Genomic DNA, 18,255 nt, shown 5'->3' on the forward strand with positions numbered 1-18,255 from the left:
CACACAGTAGAAGCTGTGTAGAAATCCTGGATTGTAGTCATTTTCTTTCTTGCCGTTACTGCTGCTGCTGCTGCTTCACTTCCTTTTTGGAATCTTCTAAGATTTTTCCTTACTTTTCTACAAATTTAACATCAACTTCTCTGTTTATTTTCCTTCTCTGCTCTCTATTCCTGACTTTCGACCATCAGTCCTTCACTAATGAATCACTTTCTTGTCCTCTATTTCTTAAGCAAGTGTTTTGTTATTTTAGACCACAGTTCTCCAAAGCAATACACTGGAGTGTGATTTAAAATATATATATATATATATATATATATATATATATATATATGAACATGTTTTACAATTATTTTTACCAAAAAGATAATAACTGAAACTGGTCTTTTCACCGGACACATGCACCCTCCTGCCTAGCAGAATGCGCATTGGCGGGTATCCTGGAGAAAGAGTAGGGGCAGCACGACTCAAGACAGCCAGAGTGAACATCCCATGAGTTTCTGTAAAATTTCAGTATATTGCACATATATACACATACATATGTACATATTTGCTATAAAGCAGTTCATGTACACCTGGTTAAATGGATGTGCCAATTATATTATTCAGTTTTAACTAAATTAACAATAAAAAGGTAGACAAGTACCTTATAGATTCCGGCCAAAAAAAAAAATAGAATTATACATAATACTAATAACCAGGAGCAAAAAAAAAAAAAAAAAAAAAAGTCAGTGTGATTCTGCTCCCCAGCTTCCTCAGTCACATTATAATGTTAAAAACAATGCCAAGTTAAATACATTTGAAAACCAGCTAAAAATAGTGAAATTGTGAAAACTACTACTGTTAAATGAATCTTACTATGTATTTTGCTTGATATTTTAGCAAGAAATACTAGGAAGCCATCACAATTAGCATGAAAATTTAAAACTAAGTACCCACAAGAGAAAATTAAAATTCTTTATTTCATGTGACTCTCAGTCCAGTACTTCTCAACATTTAAGAAACTAAATGACAAATATTCAGAAGCCCCTGTGAGATTTCATATTTTACAGTAAAAGTCAGAAAACCACAAACCATTGGGGAAAACACTTTTCTTCCCACGGTAAAAACAGCTGAAATAATATATTAAAACCACCACCAAAAAAAAAAAAAAAAAAAAAAAAAAACTGAAATTTTATTTTTATCAACAAAAGTTACACTGTCAATTTTAGAAATATTGCAGAAAAGTTGAAGCAGTAAATATTAAAACAAATACATTGTGGAGGTTGAATCCCAGTATAGTTATTTCAAAACGGACTCCACTCATGATCCAGATTCTGTTCCTATGAAGAAATATTCAAATAAGGTGGCAGGACCAGCTTGCAGCTCCCACTAGAACAGACAGAAGAGTGTGTGGAGATACATTGTGAACATTTGCTCCAAGAACTACCACAGCAACATACCAGGAAGGCTGAGAGCATCCATAGACCCTTTGAAGGAACTGAATTGCCACTGCAAGCTCCCTGAGATGCCAAAAAACTGTGAGTTGGCTTGCTTTCTCAGCAGGGAGGCTGGTGGTCCAGGGCAAGTTCTCAGCACTGGTCACTGGCTCCTCTACTAGAGTCGGTGCCGCTGGGGAGCACAGTGGGAGTGAGACTGGCCTTTAGGACTGCAGGCTGCATGAGAGTAGGGTGAGGCCTATGACTGCCAGCTTTCTCCCACTTCCCTGGTGACCTGCGTGACTCAGCAGATGCAGCCGTAATCCTCTGGGAACATAACTTCACTGGACTGGGAACCACACCCCCACCCCTCACAGCAGCCACAGCAAGCCCTGCCCAAGGAGAGTCTGAGCTCAGACATGCCTATACCTGCCTCCACCTGGTAGTCTTTCTCTGCCCACCCTGGTTGCTGAAAACAAAGGATATAATCTCTTGGGCGCTCTATGGCCCTGCCCACCACCTGAGAAACCTGAATACTTAACCTGGCAACCCTAAGGCAAATTTGCATCCTCCCTATAGTATCACAGGCAATGCACTTTTGAAAGCGCCACCTCCTGGCTGGAGGTCAACCAACACAAAACAAAAATATAACCAAGGACCCAAGGACCAAGGCCCACTTCACTCCCCTGCTACCTCCACCAGAGGAGGTGCTGGTATTCACAGCCGAAAGACATAAAGATGGATCACATCACAGGACTCTTTGCAGAGATTCCTCAGTAGCAGCCCTGAGCCCAGTAGCTCTGCTGGGTGGCTAGACCCAGAATAGCAAAAACAATCACCGCAGGTTGGCTCTCAGGAGGCCCCATCCCTAGGGGAAGGGTGAGAACAGCACATCAAGAGAGCACCCTGTGGGACAAAAGAATCTGAACAGCAGCCCTTGAGTCCCACATCTTGCCTCTGACATAGTCTACCCGAATGAGAAGGAACCAGAAAAACAATTCTGGTAATATGACAAAACAAGGTAGATTAACACCCCCAAAAGATCACCAGCTCACCAGCAATGGATCCAAACCAAGATGAAATCTCTGAATTGCCAGAAAAAGAACTCAGAAGGTTAATTATTAAGCTAATCAAGGAGGCATCAGAGAAAGGTGAACTCCAAATTAAAGAAATCAAAAACATGATACAGGATATGAAAGGAGAAATCTTCAATGACATAGATAGCATAAATAAAAAACAATCGCAACTTCTGGAAATGAAGAACACACTTAGAGAAATGCAAAATGCACTGGAAAGTCTCAGCAATAGAATCAAACAAGCAGAAGAAAGAATTTTAGAGCTCGAAAACAAGGCTTTCAAATTAATCCAATGCATCAAAGAAAAGAAGAAAGAATTTTTAAAAAATGAACAAAGCCTCCAAGAAGTTTGGGACTATGTTAAGCATCTAAACCTAAGAATAATTGGTGTTCCTGAGGAAGAAGAGACATGTAAAAGTTTGGAAAACACATTTAAGAGAATAGTCAAGGAAAATTTCCCCAGCCTTGCTAGAGATCTAGACATCCAAATATAAGAAGCTCAAAGAACAACTGGGAAACTCATCACAGGAAGATCATCACCTTGGCACACAGTCTTCAGGTTATCTAAAGTCAGGACAAAGAAAAGGATCTTAAGAGCTGTGAGGTAAAAGCATCAGGTAACCCATGAAAGAAAAACTATTACAGTAACAACAGATTTATCAGTAGAAACTCTACAAGCCAGACAGGATTGGTGTCCTATTTTTAGCCTCCTTTAACAAAATAATTTTCAGCCAAGAATTTTGTATCTGGCGAAACTAAGCTTCATAAATGAAGGAAAGACACAGTCTTTTCCAGACAAACAAATTCTGAGAAAACTCAGCACTACCAAGCCGGCATTATGAGAACTGCTAAAAAGAGCTCTAAATCAAAACAAATCCTTGAAATACACCAAAATAGAACCTTTTTAATGCATAAATTTCACAGGATCTATATAACAATAATACAATGAAAAAAGAAACAAGGCATTCAGGCAACAAATAGCAAGATGAATAGAATAGTACCTTCACATCTCAGTACTAACGTTGAATGTGAAATGGCCTAAAGGCACCACTTAAAAGACAAAGAATGGCAGAATGAATAAAAATTCACCAAACAAATTTCTGCTGTCTTCAGGAGAGTCACCTAACACATAAGAACTCACATAAACTTAAGATAAATAAGTAGAAAAAGATATTCCATGCACATGGACACCAAAAGTGAACAGGAATAGCTATTCTTATATCAGACAAAACAAACATTAAAGCAAGAGAAGTTTAAAAAGACAAAGAAGGACATTACATAATGATAAGAGGACTAGTACAACAGGAAAATATCACAATCCTAAATATGTATGCACCTAATACTGAAACTCCCAAATTTATAAAACAATTACTGCTAGTCCTAAGAAATAAGACAGATGTCAACACAATAATAGTGGGGGATTTTAATACTCCACTAACAGCACTAGACAGGTCATCAAGACAGAAAGTCAACAAAGAAACAATGGACTTAAACTATACCCTAGAAAAAATGTATGTACAAGACATTTACAGAACATTCTACCCAACTACTATAGAATATACATTCTATTCATCAGTACATGGAACATTCTCCAAGATGGGCCATATGATAAAGCACAAAATAAGTCTCAGTAAATTTTAAAAAATCGAAATTATATCTAGCACTCTCTCAGAACACAGTGGAATAAAATTGGAAATCAACACCAAAAGGAACCCTCAAAACCATGCAAATACATGGTTATTAAATAATCTGCTCCTGAATGATCATTGGGCTAACAATGAAATCAAGATGGAAATTTAAAAATTCTTTGAACTGAATAATAGTGACACAAGCTATCAAAACCTTTGGGATACAGCAAAAGTGGTGCTAAGAGGAAAGTTCATAGCATTAAATGCCTACATCAAAAAGTCTGGGACGGGCGCAGTGGCTCATGCCTGTAATCCCTGCACTTTTGGGAGGCTGAGGCGGGTGGATCACAAGGTCAGGAGATCGAGACCATCCTGGCTAACACGGTGAAACCCCACCTCTACTAAAAAATACAAAAAATTAGCTGGGCGTGGTGGCATGCACCTGCAGTCCCAGCTACTCGGGAGGCTGAGGCAGGAGAATGGCATGAACCTGGGAGGCAGAGCTTGCAGTGAGCTGAGATCATGCCACTGCACTCCAGCCTGGGCGACAGAGCGAGACTCCGTCTCAAAAAAAAAAAAAAAAAAAAAAGTCTGAAAGAGCACAAACAGACGCTCTAAGGTCACACCTCACGAAACTAGAGAAACAAGAACAATTCAAACCAAAACACAGCAGAAGAAAAGAAATAACAAAGATCAGAGCAAAACTAAATGAAATCAAAAAAACAAAAAATACAAAAGAGAAATGAAACAAAAAGCTGGTTCTTTGAAAAGATAAATAAAATTGATAGACCATTAGTGAGATTAACCAAGAAAAGAAGAGAGAAAATCCAAATAAGATCTATTAGAAATGAAATGGGATATATTACTACTGATACCACAGAAACACAAAAGATTATTCAAGGCTACTATGAGCACCTTTTGGCACATAAACTAGAAAACCTAGAGGAGATGGATAAATTCCTGGAAATATAAAACCCTCCTACATTAAACCAGTAAGATATAGAAACTCTGAACAGAGAAAAGCAAACAGTGAGATTGAAATGGTAATTTAAAAATTGCCAACAACAAAAAAAAGTCCAGTACCAGACAGATTCACAACTGAATTATATCAGACATTCAGAGAAGAACTGGTACCAACCCTAGTGACACTATTCCATAGAATAAAGAGGAAATCTCCCCTAAATCATTCTATAAAGCCAGTATCACCCTAATACCAAAACTAGGAAAGGACATAACAAAAAAAGAAAACTACACACCAATATCCCTGATGAACACAGATAAAAAAATCCTCAACAAAATAACCAATCCAACAGTGTATCAAAAAGATAATCCACCACGATCAAGTGGGTTTCATACCAGGGACACAGGGATGGTTTAACATACATGAGTCAATAAATGGGATACACCACATAAACAGAATTAAAAAGAAAAATCAGACTATCATCTCAATAGATGCAGAAAAAGCATATGACAAAATCCAGCACACTTCATGATTAAAACCCTCGGCAAAACTGGCATAGAAGGGACATACCTTAAGGCAATAAAAAGTCATCTATGAAAAACCCACAGCCAACATTATACTCAACAGGGAAAAGTTGAAAGCATTCCCCCTGAGAACTGGAACAAGACAAGGATCCCCACTTTCATCACTTCTATTCAACATAGTAGAAGTTCTAGCCAGAGCAATCAGACAAGAGAAAGAAATAAAGGACATCCACATTGGCAAAGATAAAGTCAAACTGTCGCTGTTTGCTGATGATATGATCATATACCTACCACAAAGACTCATCTAAAATGCTCCTAGAACTGGTAAATGAATTCAGCAAAGTTGCAGGATATAAAATTAATGTACACTACTCAGTAATTCTGCTATATACCTACAGCAACCAAGCTGAGAATCAAATCAAGAACTCAACCCTTTTTACAATAGCTGTAAAAATTAAATAAAACACTTCAGAATATACCTAACCAAGGAGGTGAAAGACCTCTACAAGGAAAACTACAAAACACTGCTGAAAGAAATAATAGACAACACAAACAAATGTAAACATATCCCATGCTCATGAATGGGTAGAGTCAATATTGAGAAAATGACCATACTGCCAAAAGCAATCTATAAATTCAACGTAATTCCTCATCGAAATACCACAATCACTCTTCACAGAACTAGAAAAAAACACTCCTAAAATTCATATGGAACCAAGAAAAGAACTGCATAGCCAAAGCAAGACTAAGCAAAAAGAACAAATCTGGAGGTATCATATTACCCAACTTCAAACTATACTATAAGGTAATAGTCACCAAAACAGCATGGTACTAGTATAAAAATAGGCACATAGACCAATAAAATATAATAGAGAAACCAGAAATAAAGCCAAATACTTACTGTTAGTAACTTACTAATCAGCTAACTGATTTTGGACAGGGCAAACAAAAAAACAGAAAGTGGGGAGAGGACACCCTATTCAACAAATGGTGCTGGGATCACTGGCAAGCCCCATGTAGAAGAATGGAAGTGAAATCTCATCTCTCACCTTATATAAAAATGAACTGAAGATGGATCAAAGACTTAAATCTAAGACCTGAAACCATAAAGATTCTAGAAGATAACACCAGAAAAAACCCTTCTAGACACTGGCTTAGGCAAAGACTTCATAACCAACAACCCAAAAGCAAATGCAACAAAAAACAAAGATAAACAGGTGGGACTTAATTCAACTAAAAAGCTTCTGCACAGCAATAGAAATAATCAGCAGAGTTGGCCAGGTGTGGTGGCTCACACCTGTAATCCCAGCACTTTGGGAGGCCAAGGTAGGCGGATCATGAGGTCAAGAGATCAAGACCATCCTGGCAACAATGAAGCCCCATCTCTATTAGAAATACCAAAGTTATCTGGGCGTGGTGGCGCATGCCTGTAGTCCCAGCTACTTGGGAGGCTGAGGCAGGAGAATCGTTTGAACCCAGGAGGTGGAGGTTGCAGTGAGCCAAGATCCTGCCACTGCACTCCAGCCTGGCAACAGAGCAAGAGTCCATCAACAACAACAAGGAACAAAATAATGACATTCACAGCAACCTGGATAGAATTGGAGACTATTATTCTAAGTAAAGTAACTCAGGAATAGAAAATCAAACATTGTATGTTCTCACTCATAATTGAGAGCTAAGCTCTGAGGATGCAAAGGCATAAAAATGATACAATGGACTTTGGAGACTCGGGAGAACAGGTGGGACGGAGCTGAGGGATAAGACTACACACCGGGTACAGTGCACACTGCTTGGGTGATGGATGCATCATAATCTCAAAAATCACCACTAAAGAACGTATTCATGTTACCAAGCACCACCTGTTCCCTAAAAATCTATTGAAATAAAATTTAAAAAAATAAATACTAAGATAAAAAAGAATGCCCTTTTCATAAAACTGGGTTCCAACTGTTTGCTTCAAGAAGTGAAAATTTTTCTTGCATTTTAACTGTAAATTTATCCTGAACTAGATACCTAATAAAATTATTTTTAATGGATTGTTTAAAAAAATTGAAAAGGAAACCATTTTGGAGGAAGAGGTAGATTTTGCTTGAAACAGGCAACCTACCAATTTTAAATGATCAAGAACCACACAGAGAACTGAGCCCAGTTAAAGAGTTAATAAAATAAACAGCCTTTTTGGGGGGACAACTTAAAGATTTTAACATAAAAAGTAATAATCTTACTTTTACATAAAATGCAGAGACAGATTTTCTTTTTACAGGACCAGGTCAAACAAAAGACCTGGAGGGGGTCGTGCGAAGCAAAGGAATAGGGTCATGTTTGATCCAAATGACTTCAGGCCCAGCAAAGGACTCAGTTCTGATGAGACCACAGCAATCTTCTGGGTGAATTCCAAGCCACTTCATTAACAAATCAAAGCTCCACAACAGCAAAGATATGAAATCGACCTGGGTGTCCATTAGTGAATAAATGGATAAAGAAAATGTGGCATATAAATATAACGAAATAATAGCCATAAAAACAATGAAATCATGTCTTTTGCAGCAACATGAATGAAAGTGGAGGCCATTATCCTGAGTGAAACAAGCCAGGCACAGAAAGACAAACATTGCATGTTCTTATTCATAAGTGGGAGCCAGAAAATGTGTTCATGTGGACGTAGAGTGGGATGAGAGATAATGGAGACTCAGAAGGGTGAGGGGTGGGAGGAAGGATGAGAAACTGGTTAACGGGTGCAATGTATGCTATTCTGTTGATGGATAACTTAAAAGCCCTTACTTGACCACTATACAATCTATGCATGTTTACCCCCAAAATTTGTACAAATAAGAAAAAAAGAAATATTCAAATAATTACCTTTTCTATGAGTCACTAAAGAACAGATATGCTGGCTGTGCATGGTGGCTCACGCTTGTAATTGCAGCATGTTGGGAGGCTGGGGCGGGTAGATCACTTGAGGTCAGGAGTTTTTGTCACCAGCCTGGCCAGCCTGATGAAACCCTGTCCCTACTAAAAATACAAAAATTAGCTGTGTGTGATGGTACACCCTTGTAATCCCACCTACTTAGGAGGCTAAGGCAGAAGAATGGCTTGAACTCGGGAGGTGGAGGTTGCAGTGAGCTGAGATCACACCACTGCACTCCAGTCTGGGCGACAGAGTGAGACTCCATCTCAAAAAAAAAGAAGAAAAAGAAAAGATATGCTGAAGAAATAAACTGATATAAACAGATATAGATAGATATGCTAAAGAGACAAACTGTCATATATTCATATAATAGAATACTATATAGTAATTAAAAAAAAACACTGATAAAAACAACAATGTGGATGACACAGAAAATGCACTGTGAAAACAGCCAGACATATAAGTAGAGGTATTAGCCTGTTCTCATGCTGCTATAAAAAATTGCCCAAAACTGGGTAATTTATAAAGGAAAGAGGTTTAACTGACACAGTTCTGCATGTGAGTCATGGCTGGGGAGGCCTCAAAAAACTTCCAATCATGACAGAATGGGAAACAAACACGTCCTTCTTCACATGGTGGCAGGAGAGAGACGGAGTGCCAGTAGGGGAAACGCCAGATGCTTATAAAACTATCAGATCTCATGAGACGCACTCATTATGAGGAGAACAGAAGGAGGGAAAGTGCCCCCATGATCCAGTTACTTCCACCTAGTCCCACCCTTGATATGTGGGGATTATTACACTTCAAGGTGAGATTTGGGTGAAGACAGAGCCGAATCATATCAGTAGACATATTTTCTAATTCCTTTTATATGACATTCAAGAACAGGCAAAACTAATCAAGGGTGATAGAAATCAGAAGATTGATGAACACTGTCTGAGAAGGGACTTGAAGTAACTTTCTAGTGTACTAGAAATTTTCTTTAAATCTATTTGTTGATTTTACAGTGTATACAGCTGTATAAATTCACTAAATTGTATGCTTAAAATTAATGCACTGTATTGCATGCATGTTAAACCTCAATAAAAAGTAAATAAAATATAACAAAAGATTGAAAACCATTTTCACACCTATTTAAACATTTTCTAAGTGAAACTCAATAGGTCTTGAATCTATTAGAAATACATGTTCTGATTCGTTAGTATAGACAACAATTCTGAGAAAGTGAAATTTTACTAGACAAATTAATTTTTAAACTCTTTGTGTAACTGGTGTACAGATTTGAAAATAAGTATTAATTTGGGAAGCAGAGTCAATACTGTACTTTCTGCACTCACTTCTATATATGTTTATGAAATTTACTTTTCAGCTATTAAAACCAAGTATCAAAATAAACTAAACCTGAAGAAAATAAAAACACAAGTCACAGGCTAGGATAAAATATTTGCAAAACATATCTGATAAAGGACTTGTATCCACTATAGTACTCCACAATGGAGTACTATTCAGCCATAAAAAAGAATGAGATCCAGTCATTTGCAACAACATGGATGGAACTGAAGGTCATTGGGTTAAGTGAAATAAGCCAGGCACAGAAAGGCAAACATCACATTTTCTCACTTATTTGTGTGATCTAAAAATCAGAACAATTGAACTCATGAACATACAGAGTAGAAGGATGATTACCAGAGGCTAGGAAGAGCAGTGAGGGGTGGGGGTGGGGGAAGGTTGAGATGGTTAATGAGTACCAAAAAACAGAATAAATAAGACCTACTATTTGATAGCACAACAGGGTGACTATAGTCAATAATAATTGTTTATTTTTAAATAAAGTGTGTAATTGGTTTGTTTGTAACTGAAAGGATAAACGCTTGATGGGATGAATACCCCTTCTCCATGTTGTGCTTATTTCACACCACATGCCTGTATCAAATCATCTCATGTATCCCATAAATATATACACCTACTATGTACCCATAAACAATTTTTTAAAGGACCTGTATCCAAAGTATACAAAGAATCCTTAAAGCTCAAAAATAAGAAAACAAACCATTCAATTAAAAACGGGCAAAAGATCTGAACAGATACCTCAACAAAGAAGATATACAGATGGCAAATGAGCACAGGAAAGGATACTTAATATCATATGTCATTAGGGAATTACAAATTAAAAGAATGAGATACCACCATACACCCATCAGAATGACTAAAATCCAACACACTGATAATATCAAATGCTGGCAAAAATGTGCAGCAATGGTGCTATGATTTGAATCTATCCATCCCTCCTCCAGCACAATTCATATATTAGAACCTAAGACCCAATATAATAGTATTAAAAGGCAGGGCCTTTAAGAGGTGATTAAGTCAGAGTTCTGCCCTCATGAATAGGATTAGGACCCTTATTAAAGGGCTTGAGGGAACTAAGGAGGGCCCTTCTGTTCCCTTCTGCCATTGGGAGGACACAGTAAGAGGCACCATCTTGGAAGCAGAGAGCAGCCCTCACCAGATAGCAAATCTGCCAGTGCCTTGACCTTGAACTTCTCAGCCTCCAAAACTGAGAAAATAAATTTCTGTTCTTCATAAATTACTGTCTTTCGGCTATTTTGTTATAGCAGCAGGAACAGTCTCTAGAAAAATAATTTTATTTTTAAAGAAAGAATATCTAATGGTGCCGTGACTAAAGCACTCGCTGTTCTGAAGAGAAAGGGAGGTAATTCAGCCCTTGGTGAGGGCACAGGCAGCAAGGGCGCCTCTGCCACTCAGGGCTGTCTCAGCCACTTTCTAGCCAGGGATCCTGGGCAAGTTTCTGCACCTCACTGGCCTAGTTTTTGTCATGTGTACAGAGAGGGTTTTGAACAAAGTATTTAGGTTGGTGCAAAGGTAATTGTGTAATTAAAGGCAATGGCAAAAACCGCAATTACATTTGCACCAACTTAATATTAAGAATACTCCTACTCTAAATATTCCATGGCTCAAAAAAGATTTGTTGAATGAAATTTAAGGGAACAACCCAAATCAGAACCGTGTCTAACGGGAAAGGAAATCTTCTGCATATGGTACAGAGTAAGAGCTATTAGGAGGCAGGAGAAGACAAACTATCATGTCCAGAAATAATTATGGTGGAAACTGTTAATGGAAGGGGAGGTAAATGACCTACAATTTATTCAGCTATTTATAGCTAGTAACTAGGAGATACCTAGAGAAGAAGACTGGATTAAATCCAACATTTGGGGCTTATACAGACTAAAGATCATTTTATTGTTTGCCAATCTCTCATCTATATATCTGTAAGTAGAAAGAGCTGATACCTTACATTTTATTTAAAATGTTAATGCTGGATCACTGCTCTTTGGGGACTCATTTTTAAGTGTGCAAAATTCTGCAGGCTTTAACAATAAGATGCACATAAAGACATTTGCAATCTAAGTCATCTCTTGACATTTGACTAAAAGTCAAAGCAATGGACCACAAGACAAATAGAACACTTCACCCATGAAGGTTGACTATTAGCTTTGTTTCATGATCTGTAAATGAGTTATTAAATGCCTCTATAAAGTTTTATTACTGTTTTAATCCCAGTAATAACTGTCCTCACTTTAAATGTCCTACCGTTTGCTGAATATGGCAGTAATGTGCTTCAATAATGCTGCCCGACATTAGATTTTTTTCTCTCTAAAACTAAGGATATAAAAGAGAAGGCGTTAGAGATACTATGCAGCACTGGTTCTATCAGTTAAGGGAAAAAAGAGTGAGCCAGATGTTAGCTGTCTGTCTTTGTACGGGTATGACCTGCTTGATTCCACATTTCCATCTTTATTTCCTGAGCGTCAGCAGCCTAGACATAAGGGAATAAAAGTGAATGTATGTTTCAGCACACTATGAAAGCACTTACAGAGAAAACAATTTACATCTTAATAGCTTTCTTTCATTACATTAACTTCTCTGCTTTTCATCTTGGAGACTGCAGGAATGTTCACAAACATTGGCAAATGTAAGAAAGAATCACAGAATCTTGGAGCTAGAAGGGGCTCTAGAGGCCATAAGCCCACCTCCCACCCCTGCTGGAATCGCTCCTCTGTTCAGTCTCCCTTTGAGGCTGCTGGGACATTCACAGTACAGACCATTCACTCACTATGTCCAGATGTTGGCCTCTACAAAATTCAATCTTCAACCTGTTGGAATGGTCTTTCTTACGTTGAACACAAAGTGGCTGCCCTAGAACTTGCACTAGGACTCAAGGTCCTGCCTTTTGGAGCTTGTCACAGCAAGCACCTCCTCTGTGCCTCACAGGAGAGGCAGACACATATCTGAAGACATCCCTTGGAGCTCTGACTAGTCACTCCACCTACAAACCAAACATCCTAGCATCTTCCACCACTCCCCAGGAGGGGTTCCTACTTGCCTCACTACCGTGGATGCCGAATGATAATCAGTCGCTAATTTCATTTCCAATATTTATTTTTAAATCTTCCACTAATAATTAAACTCAACCTTCTTCCTCATACAGAAGAGACATTTGATGTTCCTCAGTTGGGACACCACACAGTTGTCCTCTCCTGAAACACAGTGTGGTAGGGAATTTGAATTTGAAGCATACATGAACATGTAGGAAAAACAGGGGCAGGAGAATCAAGGTCAATTAATGAAAGCCTTAAACATAAGACACAGTGCGCACACGAATAAAAGAAACACTGTGTACATTTTATTCATTTTGCATTGGTAAAATGGGAACTTTAATATATCTTTTACCTGACTCATGTTTGAGAGGAACTTTTCAGGGTCTTCTGACCCTACAGTTTCAAGGAGTTGCCTCTAAACTGAATTACTATTTTGTAAGTTGCATATGTATCAACTTAAATTTGATCTTTGTAGCCAAAATAGCTGGCTGTCCACAAAATATTCATGCACTTCTTTCCAAACTGTGGAATAATTACTGGGAAATGTTGCTCAATCAAGCACTACATTACCCAAAGTCTCTGCAAGGCTACCTCTCACCAGCAGAATGTGAACAAAAGACACGTGTGTCATTTTCAGCTGGGGTTCATTTTTAACTGCGGTAAAATACACATACCATAAAAATGTACCATTTTAACTATTTTTTAAGTATATAATTCAGTGGCATGAAGTACATTCACAGTGTTGTGTAACCATCACCACTATCTCCAGAACATTTTCATCATCTCACAAAGAAATCTCTGTACCCACTAAACTGTACCTCCCCATTCTCCCTCCCCCCAGCCCCTGGTAACCCCTGTTCTACTTTCAGTCCCTATAAATTTGATTTTTCTAGGTACCTCACACAAGTAGAATCATAACAATATTTGTTCTTCTGTGCCTGGCTTCTTTCAGTTAATGTAATGTTTTCAAGGCTCATTGATAATGTATTTTCTATCTCACTTTAATTCCTTTTTATGGCTAAATATTATTTCACTGTATGCATATACTACATGTGGCTTATCTTTTCATCTGGTGATGGAGACATGAGTTGTTTCCATCTTTGGCTATTATGAATAATGCTGCAATGCATATTTGTGCAGATTTGTGTATGTGTTTGAGTCCCTGTTTTTAATTCTTTGGGGAATATTATAAGAGAATTGCTCAATCATATGTAATTCCTTATTTAACGTTCTGAGGAACTACTATACAATTTTCCACAGCGGCTGAACCATTTTACATTTCTACCAGCAATGCGCAAGGATTCCACTTTCTCCACATCCTCACCAACATGCTATTTTTCCATTGTTTCAATAATAGTTATACTATACACTAGGTGAAGTGGTATCTCATTGTGGTTTTGATTTGTATTTCCCTAGTCATTAAAGATATTGATTATTTTTTCAATGCTTAGCAGCCATTTGTATACTGTCTTTGGAGAAATGTCTATTCAAGATCTTCATCCACTTCTGAACTGGGTTATTTGTTTTTCTCTTGTTGAGTTGTAGGAGTTCTTTATATATTCAGGATATTAATTCCTTATCAGATATGTGATTTGCAAATATTTCTTCTAGCTAGGATTATTAAGGAGCTGTGCCTTTTCCACTATTTTATTCTTCTGCCTGATGCAGATGATTCTAAGACCCTAGGGAACAAGGGAGCCATGAAATGGAAGAAGCCAGATACCACATGAAAGAAAAACACCCACTGACCAGGAGTGCCACACATTCTACTGTTACACTACTGAAAAACCAACTTTTAGTGCTGACACACTAAAATTTTAGTTTCTTTTTCCTACCAGCTAGCATTACTCAACCTAACAGTCCTCTGTCAGTAGGTTCCCGGTCCTTCTGATAGTATGATCTGGGAGGTCATGATTTCCATCTCCCAGGTCTCATCTTCATTAATATATCATATATGGTCTCAGGCCTTCACTGATTAGACCTTATTTTTTTTTCAATTTTCAAAAACACAACATCATCATTTTGTCTAGACAGATATGTATAGTTCTCAAATTCTTCAATTCCTCTTTTTGAAAATGAGTTATTTCCCACCCTAAACTCTTAGGCACTGTTTCTTTGTAACAATGACTCTAAGATCCTATTTGTGGATTTTTCAGTACTCTGCATAAGAATCTATTTGGGTTGGTAAAGTTGAACTCATGTAAAACAGGTGATACAGTCTTGAAATCTAATCACTTATCTTGGATTTCTCTTCAATCATTCTCAAGATCTGCTTACATGGTCCCATGTGAAGATCACTCAGCTGTTTTTTAGTATTTACTTTTAAATACACTAATTCAGTTATTATACATGACAGATTTACATGTAATTATCATTTAAGCTTCAACACAAACACATAAAATAGGAATCAATATCCCTGGGGAGATTAAGACCCAAAAGATCTCACCAAATAAGTTGTAGACTCTAGATTCAAATGCAGCTATTTCAATTGCCTTGCCATGTTACTTTCTTTCATTCACATGCTAACTTGCCAAATTTTCCTAGACTAATAACTTTTTTGGAAGATAGCTTCAAAAAAGGATCTTTCCGTAGCTCTTTGTGGTTTTTATAGGATGCACAATTCATTGTATGCTATTCTCTGATACTATCATAAATTTACATGTAGTGTTATACGTCCCTCCTTGCTATTTTAAACATGTTTTAAATCTAATATACTGGTTAAATGTTTTTTCTTTTTTTTCTTTTTTTTTTTTTTTGAGACCGAGTCTTACTCTGTCACCCAGGCAGCAGTGCAGTGGCACAGTCTCAGCTCACTGCAGCCCCTGCCTTCTGGGTTCAAGTAATTCTCTTGCCTCAGCCTCCCAACCTGTAATCTCATGCAGTTGGGATTACAGGTGCATGACATCACACTCAGCTAATTTTTGTATTTTTAGTAGAGACGGGGTTTCACCATGTTGGCCAGGCTGGTCTCAAACTCCTGGCCTCAGGTTATCCACCAGCCTCAGCCTCCCAAAGTGCTGGGATTTCAGGCGTGAGCCACCACATGCCTGGCCAAATGTCTTCTTCTTTTACATTAAAAAAACACCTTTTCTGATAATTGAAAATATGGCTTTGATACTTGAGAATATTTTAGACATTAAGAAACCTAGCCAAACACTAGGGAGAAAGCTTTTGGGATGAGGAGTAATAATACACAGGCCATTCTATCTCAATGAAATATTAAAGAAAGAAAAATGGAAAGTTCTCTTTATTAACATCCTGTTCTCCATATTTCAAAACTAAAGTCAGATGATATGACAGAACTGAAAATGAAACAACTGCTTGAAAGTTTTTAGACCACAAAATTGGTCTGTTAAATCCAAATTATGGTCTCAGTCTCTGCCAGTGATTTTCATTGTGTTCCAAAGCAAAAGGATCTGCCCCAGGGAACTTGGCCAGCTGTGTGCCAGCTGTGTGTTATCACAAGAGGAACTGGGTAAGAACTGGTGAAAAAACAGTCAACAGATCAAGGTATTTTTGTTTGTTTTGTTTTTGTTTTTTTGAGACAGAGTCTTGCTCTATCGCCCAGGCTGGAGTACAGTGGCACGATCTCTGCTCACTGTAACCTCCACCTCCCAGGTTCAAGCGATTCTGCCTCAGCCTCTTGAGTAGCTGAGACTACAGGCATTCACCACCACGCCCGACTAATTTTTGCATTTTTAGTAGAGATGGAGTTTCATCATGTTGGCCAGGCTGGTCACGAACTCCTGACCTCAGGTGATCCGCCTGCCTCAGCCTCCCAAAGTGCTAGGATTACAGGCATGAGCCACTGTGCCCAGCCCCAGACCAAGTTTTATTCATTTTGGTGGCCCTAAAAGAATCCAGCACATAATGTCTTACACATATTAGGTTCTCAATAAAGATACATGGAGAGAAGGAAGACATGAAGCACGTCACTACTAATAAGATCAGAAGTGGGACAACACATATGTTACAGGGCATTCTGGGACTGAGATTGTGAGCAGAGTGCATTTCTTCTAGAATCTAGAGATGAATGGTCATAATGGTTACACAACAATGTGAATGCACTTAATGCCACAAAATTGTAACATTAAAAATGGCTAAAATGGTAAATTTTATTTTATATTTTATTACAATAAAAAATAAATACTTGTATAATACATTTTTATGGATTTTTTTAAAAACCACATGAGACATTACTTCACACCACTAGAATGGCCACAATTGAAAAGACAGATAATAAGTTTAGGAGAAGGTATGGAGAAACTGGAGTCCATACACATTGCTGGTGGCAATGTAAAATGATACATCCACTTCAGAAAACAGTCTGGCAGTTCTTCAAAAAAATTAATCATAAAATTACCATATGATCTAGCAATTCCACTCCTAGGTATATACCTAAGACAAATGAAAACATATCAACACAAAAACTTGTCCATGAATGTTTATACAGCATTATTCACAACAGCCAGAAGTGGAAACAACCTATATTCTATCAACTAATGAATGGATAAACAAAATGTAGTATATCCATATAATAAAAAAAAATTATGCAATCAAATGAAATGAAGTACCAATACATGTTATAATTTGGATGAACCTTGAAAATGTTATGCAAACTGAAAGAAGCTAGCCAAAAAACCCCATGCTGCATGATTCTTTTTCTATGATATGTCCAGAATATGCAAATCTATAACGACAAAGTAGCTTAGTGGTTGTCTAGGCAGAGGTGATTTAGGGGGATTGGTGAGTGACTGCTATGAGCAGAGCTTCTTTCTGAGGTGACAAAAATGTTCTAAAATTTATTGTGTCATGAATACACTAAAAACCACTGAATTATACACTCTAAATGGGTGAACTGTGTGGTATGTGATATATATCTCACTATAGCTATTTTTTAAATTAAAGCAGTGGCTGTATGGTAGTGAAAGTACAGAAATGAGTGAGGTCATTTACTAAACTAGTCTCCCCTTTCGTACTCCTCCACCTTCTTTCTCCCACCTCTTACTCCTTTGAATGGACTTTCAAAGAGATGCCCAGTAGTGACCCTGGAAACAAGTCAATGGCCAACTAGGAGTTCAAAAGAAAGTAAAGAGGAAACCAGTCAGCACCACAATCCCTAAAACTGGCTGTCCTTGTTTTCCTCCAGTCTTTCCTCAATTCCACAGTACTCAGGATTAGAGCTGTATTTAAAACTGTCACCAAGTACAGAGTCCTTTGGCCTGAAGTCAGCCAGAGGCAGGAACACACTTAAGAAAGGAAGAGGGGCAGCCGGGTGGAGTGGTTCATGCCTGTAATCCCAGCACTTTGGGAGGCTGAGGTGGGCAGATGAGAAGGTCAGGA

General features: G+C 37.9%; 1 protein-coding gene across 6 annotated transcripts in view, besides 2 other annotated features; it reads right to left on the minus strand.

Annotated features, from left to right (window-relative positions):
- Nucleotides 1-18,255, minus strand: part of ULK4 (unc-51 like kinase 4) — a 715,505-nt gene that overhangs the window by 259,878 nt on the left and 437,372 nt on the right. The gene's annotated exons all lie outside the window — the stretch shown is intronic.
- Nucleotides 1,200-2,399: an enhancer, noted in NCBI's record as "CDK7 strongly-dependent group 2 enhancer chr3:41549167-41550366 (GRCh37/hg19 assembly coordinates)". NCBI's record gives its function as "activates an origin of replication core promoter dependent on BRD2, BRD4, P300/CBP, MED14 and CDK7 cofactors, with strong dependence on CDK7, by STARR-seq in HCT116 cells {active_cell/tissue: HCT116}" and the evidence as "EXISTENCE:reporter gene assay evidence [ECO:0000049][PMID:35650434]".
- Nucleotides 12,090-12,777: an enhancer, noted in NCBI's record as "OCT4-NANOG hESC enhancer chr3:41560057-41560744 (GRCh37/hg19 assembly coordinates)". NCBI's record gives its function as "activates a minimal SCP1, AML or CMV promoter by ChIP-STARR-seq in naive H9 embryonic stem cells {active_cell/tissue: H9 hESC(naive)}" and the evidence as "EXISTENCE:reporter gene assay evidence [ECO:0000049][PMID:30033119]".

The sequence above is a fragment of the Homo sapiens genome, chromosome 3 (assembly GCF_000001405.40).
Source record: "Homo sapiens chromosome 3, GRCh38.p14 Primary Assembly".
Classification (NCBI taxonomy): Eukaryota; Metazoa; Chordata; class Mammalia; order Primates; family Hominidae; genus Homo; species Homo sapiens.